Consider the following 9,451-nt stretch of genomic DNA (forward strand, 5'->3'; position numbering starts at 1 on the left):
GACTCTTTTGGTAATTCAATAGGAGGTGTCTGTCTTAAGGAAATTAAAAACAAAAACTGGTAGGCTGCTTTCTATTTGTACATATAAAGTATTGAATTTAACACTTGTTAATTAAATAGTTTTTCAAAATTAGCTGGAATTAAAAACATTTTAAGTAATTAAAAATAATTTAATTATTATTATTATTTGCCATGTGAAAAGACAGGTTGCTCTAGCTGTAGAGAATCATGACCCACATGAAAATAATAGAAATTGGCAACCTTGTTTTGGAATATATTGCAGCATGTGAAGAAGATGTAGAAAGGCGAACTTGGAGAGCACGTCCCAAAGGGAAAATTCTTCAGAGGACATATATCTATTACAAGAGGCTCACAATATAAGTCAAATACTTTTTTAAAATGTCACTTAGAGGAACAAATGTCTCTCCTGCTGGGAGGACACATCCTCCATAGTAAGCACAGTGGAAAGATATTTGATGAGGACTGGAAAAGGGACAAGTATGCATGGAAGTGTCGGAGGTGGAAGAGCGGCACATAAGAAACAGTGGGGTGCATGACAGGGGGCGGGAAAGCAGATGCTGCATGTCAAAGGGAGACTTTGAAGGAGGAAACCTATAATGATACCAGTTTCAACAGGGGAATCATATCATGAAAAGATCTTCCAGTTATTTGTGCAAATGCCACTTTTTCAGGGAAGCAAATGAACACCCTTTGTGAAATTATTCTCACACTTCTGATTTCTTTTCCTTTTTTCTCCAAACCACTAGTTGCATTTTGATATGCTATCAAATTTCTCTATCAGTTTTGTTTATTGTCTGTCTCCCCTCAGTAGAACGTAAGCTCCATGAGGACAGGTGCATCTGTCCATTTATTTTATTGTGCACCTCTGTATTCCTGGCATATGGCAACACAAATTTCTTGCATCAGTCAATAAATGAATGCCCACATGAATAAACTATTGTGGGTAGAAGAGGTGGTATCTTCTAGGAGGAGGGAATTATACATGTGAAGTCTATTCAACACATTTATTGAGTTATATGCTCACATGCATAAACATTGGCAGAATGTGAAGTGGAGCTCTCCCAAAAATGAAACTCTTATTTTAACAGATACCCAGAAAAAGTAAGAGTGAATTATTTGTCAAGTTGCTTTTGGAACATTTTGTTTTTTGTTTCCCAGTGTAAATGTTACTGACATGGCACATCTGTCTCCATTTGATACATACAAAAATGGCAGCAAGCATGTCCCAGATATAAAAAGACCAAGGCAGAAAATCCTGGAGGAGAACACAAATACTGGGAATCAGTATTTCTCAAATGGAGAAAGAGAGACACACAAACAGATTTCAATGTGCCATATATTGTAAAAAGGCAATTTCCACTTCCATCTCCACCTTCTGCCTGCCTGCAAAAGGACAGAACAGTAAAAAGGACCTGCTTATAAACATTAGTAAAAAATTCATAAATTTTATCATTCAATAAATATTAGTAACTGTAGTCCAGTTTAACAAATTTTGTTTGATGAAATTTTAAGGGAATAAATTAAAAACAATCAGCTATTCTTTTCTAACAAGGAGAATGATCTTTAAATTGTAAAAGGTAGAACAAAGAAAAGGATTATAAAATAATACAATGAGCAACAGTGTGCCAACAAATTAAATAACCTGAATGAAACAGACAAACTCCTAGAAGGACACAAATTACCAAAAGTAACTCCAAAGGAAACAGAAAATGTGAATAGACCTATAACAAGTAAAGAGAATGAATCTGTAATTGGTAAACTTTCTACAAAGAAAAGCCCAGAGCCAGATGGCTTCCCTGGTGAATTCTACCAAACATTTAAAGAATAATTAGCACCAACCCTTTCAAAATCTTCCAAAAAGTGGAACAGGAGACAACACTTCTAAATGCATTCCATAAGGCCAATAATATCATTATACCAAACTTAGAAAGATAGATCACAACAAAAAAATACCTTCAGATAAAAATCCCTTATGAATGTGGATGTAAATAAGAACTACAATGAGATACAACTTTATACCCACTAAGATGGCTATAATTTTTTTTAAAAAAGAAAGGAAAAGAGTCTGGCTGCTCCTCAAAAAGTTAAACATAGCATTAGTACCTGATTAATCAATCCTACTTCTAGTTATATACCCAACAGAATTGAAAAGAGAGACTCAAAACAGATACTTATATACTAGTGTTTACTGAAGCATTATTCATCATAGCCAAAAATGTAAACAAGCCAAATGTTCACGAACTGATGAGTGAATAAGCACAATGTCATATATTCATACAATGAAATACTATTCTGTCATAAAGGGAATGAAGTACCAATAAATACTAAACATAGATGAACCTGAAAACTTTACGCTAAGTGGAAGAAGCCAGACAAAAAGTCGATGTATTGTATGATTTCATTTATCTAAAAAGTCCAGAATAAGAAATTCATAGAAAGTAGGTTAATAGTTGCCAGTGCAAGGGGGTAGTGGAGGGGAAATTGGAAGTTACTACTTAATAGGTATGAAGTTTCTTTTTGGGGTAATGAGAATTTTCTGGAATTAGTGGTGATAGTTCCATATATTGTGAATATACTAAAAGACACTGGATTGTATGTTTTAAAATTGCTTAAATGGTGAATTTAATGTTAGTCACATTATCCCAATACAATAGATCACAAGGTTTATGAGAAAATAGGATTTAAGAGATAATACTCAAAAACTTAGTGACACATAAAAAGCAGGTAGGAATTTAATTAAACAGAATGGAATCTAATAAAACGGGAGCACAGTTTACACATTCTAAATGGTTAAGAAATAAATGGCTACTATAATACTTATGGTATTTTACCTTGAAAAATATCTAAAGTTTGCTTGTGGAAGTGGGTGCCTGAACTCCCACTCCCACCAGGCTTGCCTGACTGGCTTCCTCACCCACCATCATGTGTGCAAGAATAAAAGAACAAGGCAGCAAGGGTAAGGAGAGAGGAAGAGAGATGAGAGCAGAGAGAAAAAATATATAATAAGCCAAGAGGAAATGGGAAAATGAAAGAGTCTTTAGGGCAGGGGCTTTTCCATATAATTGTGGCTATATTATCCTAAAACTCAAGCTTGTAGCTAGAAAGTTTTTGTAAAGGGGTGGCAAGAGGTGATCTGAAATCACATGGAACAATTGTGACACTGAGTGCAGATGATGTGGCTCAATGTCCTCATGAGGTGTGTGTCTGGAGTTTTTGGGTTCTGCATTCACCTAATGGTTCTCTTTGGAAAATATTCAGGCCTTCAAAACAAAACAGATTTGTTTTCTGGCTTGCACAAATTCAGATTTTTCTGTGTGAAAGCAGAACTGACTGAATTTTGTTAGCTTTTTCATGGAATTGTAGCTATTTTTGATATTATCCTAACACTCAACAAGTTGTAGGTTTCTAAATATTAGATCCAGTGTAGAATCTGAAACCATATTAATAAACTATCCACACTCTGTTGCATTAAAATCCATGGCTTTGGATTTTATCTTGTACTTTAAATAGGTTGTTTACCCATGCATGATTTCATAGTATCATTCTTTGTTCATTTGGAAAATATTGGTTCACTGAATTACTAGTCAACTGAATCCAAAGACAGAAAAAAAGATTACACACTTAAGTAAGTAGGATCTATCCCAGAATGTGAGGTTGCTACATCATGTGAAAATGAATCAACATAATACAATATATTAATAAAATAAAGGACAAAACTCATATGATCATCTCAGTAGATGTGGAAAAGTATTTGATGAAATTCAACAACCTTTCATGATAGAAACATTCAACAAACCAGGAATAGAAAAAAAATTTCCCCACCTGATAGCATCTACAAAACACCCACAACTAACATTATACTTAATGGTAGAAGCCTGAAAGCTTTCCCACCAGAATCAGGAACAGGACAAGGATGTTCACTCTCACCACTCTTTTCAACATTGTACTGGAGATTTTTCCATGTAATTTGGCAAGAAAAGGAAATAAAAGGCATCCAAATCAGAGAGGAAAGAGTAAAACTATTTCTATTTGCAGGTGACATGATCTTATAAGTAGAAAATTCTAGGGAAGATACAAAACAACAGCTACTAGTGCTAATAAACAAGCTTAACAAAGTTGAAAAATACAAAATAATTATGCAAAAATTAATTCTATTTCTATGTAGTAGCAATGAATAATCTGAAAGGAAAATTTTTAAAAGTCAATTTATAGTAGTATAAAAAAGAATAAAATATTTACAAACAAAATCAACAAAAGGAGTTTAAGACTTGTGTGTTGAAAACTAAAACATTGCTGAAAGAAATTAAAGAAGATCTAAATAAATGGAAAGACATCCCATGTTCATGGATTGCAAGATTTAATATTAAGATGATAATTGATCTACATAATCAATGCAATTCTTATAAAAATTCCAGCTGTTTGCTGTCTTTTCTTCAGAAATAGACAAGCTTAATTTAAAATGCATATGAAAGTGCAGGAAACCTAGATAGCTTAAATAATCTTGAAAAACAACAAAGATGGACTCATACTACCAATTTCAAACTTCTTGTGAAGCTACAGTATTCAAAACTATGTGGTACTGGCATAAAAACAGATATATAGAGCGTTAGAAAACAATTGAAAGTCCAGAAATAAATCTCAAGTTTATGGTCAATTGATTTGCAGGAAGGGTTCCAAGGATATTCAATGGAGAAAAAAATAGTTATGTCAAAAAATTGGTGCTGGAACAACTAGATGTCCACATGCAAAAGAATAAAACTGGACCACTCACACCACATACAAAAAATTAACTCCAAACAGATCAAAGACCTAAATTTAATAACAAAAACTATTAAACTCTTACAAGAAAACAAAACTTTCTCGAATAAGGCAATGGTTTCTTAGACATGACATCAAATCATGAGCAGCAACAAAATAAATAAATAAATTAGACTTCATAAAACTGAAAACTTTTGTACTTGAAAAGACACTATCAAGAAAGTTAAAAGACAACTCATGGAATGAGAGAAAATATTTGCAAATCATATATTTAATAAGGGACTAGTCTATCCAGAATATAAAAGACCTTTTGCAACTTTACGATAAAAAAGACAGTGCAACAGAAAAATGGGCAACTACTTTTAATAGACGTTTTTAAAAGAAGATATACAAATGGCCAATAAGCACATGAAAAATGTTCAGCAGCATTAGTCTTAGGGAAATGCACATAAAAACCACAACGAGATACCATTACACATTCACTAAGATGGTTATAATAAAAATGTCAAACAATAAAAAGTGGTAGCTAGGATGTAGGGAAATTTGAACCCTTTTATATTGCTGATAAGACTTAAAATGGTGCAGCTGCTTTTGAAAAACCATTTTTCAAAAGGTTCAATATAGAGTTACCATATGACTCACCAATTCTACTACTAGGTATACATCCAAGAAAAATGAAAAATATGTTCACACAAAAGCTTGTATGCAAACATTATAGCACCTTTATTCATAATAACCAAAAAGTGGAAATAACTCAAAAGTCTATCAACTGATGAATGGTTAAATAAAACATGGTACATCCATATAGTGGAATATTATTTGGCCCTAAAAAGAAATGAAGTACTGATACATGCTAAGTCCTTGATGAACCTTGAAAAGATTATGCTAAGTGAGAGAATATAGTTGCAGAAGACCACCTAGTAAGTGATTTCATCTATATAAAATATCCAGAATGGGCAAATCTGTAGAAACAGAAAGTAGATTAGTGGTTGTCTAGGCTCGGGGTTTAGAAAGGAAATGGAAAGTGACTGATAATGGGTATAGAATTTCTTTTCATGCTGATGACATGTTCTGAAATTAGAGTCTGGCGATGTTTGCACAACTCTGTGAATAAAAGTCACTAAACTGTACAGCTTAAAAGAATATGCTTTATAATATATGAATTATGTACCAATAAAAAATGAAGAGGTATGATGATTATTAGGAACCAGCAATGAATCACTTAAGAATAACTTGACTAACATAATTTATTACCATTTTTTCATAAGGAAACTAGACAAGCAGATTAGAGAAACAACCTATAGACAATGTATCATGATTTAAGTAAGTAATTTGGATCCAGTCATTGATTGTTTGCTTGTTTAGTAATTCATTATCTGTTGGAAATTTACTAAGAATGTACCTGAATTGTGCTGGCTATTGGAGATTCAGAGATCAATATGACAGTTCTTTACAGAACTAGCCTACTAATTAAAAATTATGCTTTAAATATGGCAAGAGAAGCTCAGAGAAGTTAAATAACTCTCCTGATGTCACACAGCTAAAAAGTAACAAAGAATTTGAACTAAATTATATGGGGCTGAAAAGTCCATGACGTTCCATTATGGCATGCTTCCAATAGCAGCGTGCTTGTGGGTAAGAATAGGAACTGAGTGATGATGTAATTCCGGATAGTCACAAAGAGTTGAATAACTGAATGCAGGGAATGTTAACTCATGGACTGATCTCAATCTTGAGGGACATCCCCAGAGTTGTCACAGGGCTCTGAGAATGGCTGGATCCCATTTGATAATCTTATCAACAACATAAATGAAGACAGAGGGCAGGATGACCACATTTGTTGTTGACACAAAGCTGGAAGTGATAGTTGATATGCTCAAAGAAAGAATCAGGATTTGAAAAGATCTCATTAGACTGGAACTATGGGCTGAAATTAATACGGGATTGAGGGAGAACTGGATTAACAGGAATTCACATGAAAAAGACTTGGATATTTTAATTGACAGCAAGCTCAATATGATTCAAAGGTGTTAGCCAAAAAAGCTAAGGCATTCTTATCCTGCATTAAAATATAGTGTCTAGGAAAAGGAATGTAATTGCACTCTGGTCACTGCTATTGTCTGACAAATTGTGAAGCATTTTGTTCAGTTTGGGGTGGCTATTGTTAGGAAGGATATTGACAAACTGGAGCATGTTCAGAGAGAGACCAGAAGAGTGAAACTGTGTCATGTGAAGACTGGGGGTGTTTAGCTTGGAATAGGAAGATCTGGATGGTGCAGTGGGAGTGGGGAGAAGGGAAGTAAAGTAGCTATTTTCAAAGATTTAAGGGGATGTCTTGGGGCTGATGGTTTAATTCAATTCTATTTACTTTAGTAGAATTCAAACTCAAACAAGACAGGGAGACAAATTTCTGTTCATGAATTATTTTCAGATAATTGGGAGTTGTAGAAAATGGAATAATCTACTTTGTAATTTAGTGAGCAGTTTTTCATGGGAATTATGCAAGAGTAATCTATATGAACACTATTAAATAATTGAGAGATATTACTGAAACTTCATTGAAGATTGCCTCAATGTCTTACAAGATCCATTTGAGCTCAAAGAGCCAATAATAATTATAACATTATTGTTATAGTATCAGCTAATATAAATTGAGAAAACTGTTATAAAAATATTCTACATGCATGATCATATTTAGTCTGACAAAAACAATATTTTATTACTCCCATTTTATAGATGTGGAAATTGAGGCCTTAGACAGGCCGAGTAACTTTCTCAAGGATACATGAGTTGTAAATGTTAAAGCTAGACTTCCAACTCAGGTCACTCTAATTCAGAACTTCAGCTCTTAACTGCTTTCCTAAAACTCTTTTGGTCTCTATGTTATTTAATGTGTTATAATAGGTTGATTGCAGTTAGATAATCTGGCTAGAATTCTACCTGCTTAGAGTGCATACATATATGGGGAGGGGTGTTGTATAGTTAAGACATTTGAGTAACTCAAGGTCAACAGGGACTCTTATCTTCATGGAGAGTAAATGCCTGTCCAATGGAATTTCAGGATCGACACGTTCAGTGTTTAAAAAAGCAAACAGCTTAGCTCATATTTTCATTCTTGGATTATTTTAAATGAGACAATGCCAGAGTACACAAAAGTAGATAGCTTGGTTTCAGATTTTCATTCCTGAATTGAGATTTCAGTATGCATGCCATGCTAGGAGATGCCTACCAAAGAATGGAATGAGTAAGGGATGGAAATTACCGTATTTACTCGTGTTAGGCAAAGGACTTTTCTGCGACTTGCATGGTGATTTTATTTTTCTGTAAATAGTGAATGAGTGCCCAACAGGTGCTCTATGGTATGCTGTTTTGAAAATATCTGGTTGATTTCAATTTGAAGGCCCTGCTACAAAGTTTAAGTTTTTGGATGAAGAAAAGAGCAGTATAGTATTTTTCCTCAATAAATTATTTCCTTGTTCAGAATAACTTTTGGACAGGCAGACCAGAAATAAATTGATTAATTCATTCAAGGAAACAGACAAAGGAAAAAGTATAGATTTTGATAAATGGAAGAAAGAACATAAATACCAACTCTCAAAAATTAAGAGGGGGAATGTGCTTAGATTGGATAGTAAGAAAAAGCCAATCTGTGCTAGTGACTTTTAAGCTGAAGCCTTAATGTTGGGAAAGAACCTGCAGGTGCAGAGCTTAGGGCAGGATCAGTCTAGATAGAGAATGCAGCATGCTGAAAGGCCCTGAGGCTGGGAGGAGTTTAGCACATTCTAGTCATACACAGAACAGATGGCAGCGGTCCATATGAGGGATGTCTACAGCTTGGACTAGGATGATAGCGGTGGAGGCATATTTTGGAGGTACTCACACACTGGAGTAGACTCTATACATATGTGTCATATTTTAGGTACATAACACATGCATACAAATCATTCTCCAATCCCTATTCGGTTCTGTATAATCTCAAAAATCTTCAATACATTTCAGTCTTTTATCAGACATTCTTAAACAGAAGCCATTCCTTCTCCTTGGTATGAGAGAGGATATTTCTTCAGACAATTCACTTTCTGTTTGTCAGAAATTCCCTTTCTCCCTTCTTCCCTTTCTTCCTGCATTCCTTCTTCTTACCTGCCTGCCTTCCTCCAACAATATTTAATATATGCCTACTTGCCGTCAAGCACTGGGCTAGGTATTGAACATACAGTTATGAACAAAACAGTCCTTGTTACTGCTTTAATGAAATCTTCATTTGATTAGGTGCTGATTACCCCAAACAGAATTTTATCTACTTTACATTTCTATTTTGTAAGTTAATAATTACTGAATGCTTACTAAATTCTAGGTAGCATGCTGAGCATGTTACTTTTATTTTTTGTAAGCATTTTTCATTTTATTAAATAAATTTTATCATAAGGATTGTGTTTACTGAATTGTTCATTTCTTGCATCTATACTATTCTTAACCATTCCCACCTGTTGAACCTTGAGATGATTCACAATCATTTATAAAGGCTGGCCAATTCAGTGGACATGTACAGAAAAAGCCTTAGGGTTTAAATACGTCCTGAGAACAAAAGGAACACACACTGCCCAGAATTCAAAAGGCAAACGTTGCCTTTAGACTTGAATGATAGCTCTATCTGACTTATCCATTTTTAGGAG

The 9,451-nt window shown here is 34.1% G+C and overlaps 1 annotated feature.

The window, feature by feature from the left end:
• Positions 294-795: an enhancer, noted in NCBI's record as "NANOG hESC enhancer chr8:86316751-86317252 (GRCh37/hg19 assembly coordinates)". NCBI's record gives its function as "activates a minimal SCP1, AML or CMV promoter by ChIP-STARR-seq in naive H9 embryonic stem cells {active_cell/tissue: H9 hESC(naive)}" and the evidence as "EXISTENCE:reporter gene assay evidence [ECO:0000049][PMID:30033119]".

Source organism: Homo sapiens, chromosome 8 (genome assembly GCF_000001405.40).
Source record: "Homo sapiens chromosome 8, GRCh38.p14 Primary Assembly".
NCBI classification, from domain to species: domain Eukaryota; kingdom Metazoa; phylum Chordata; class Mammalia; order Primates; family Hominidae; genus Homo; species Homo sapiens.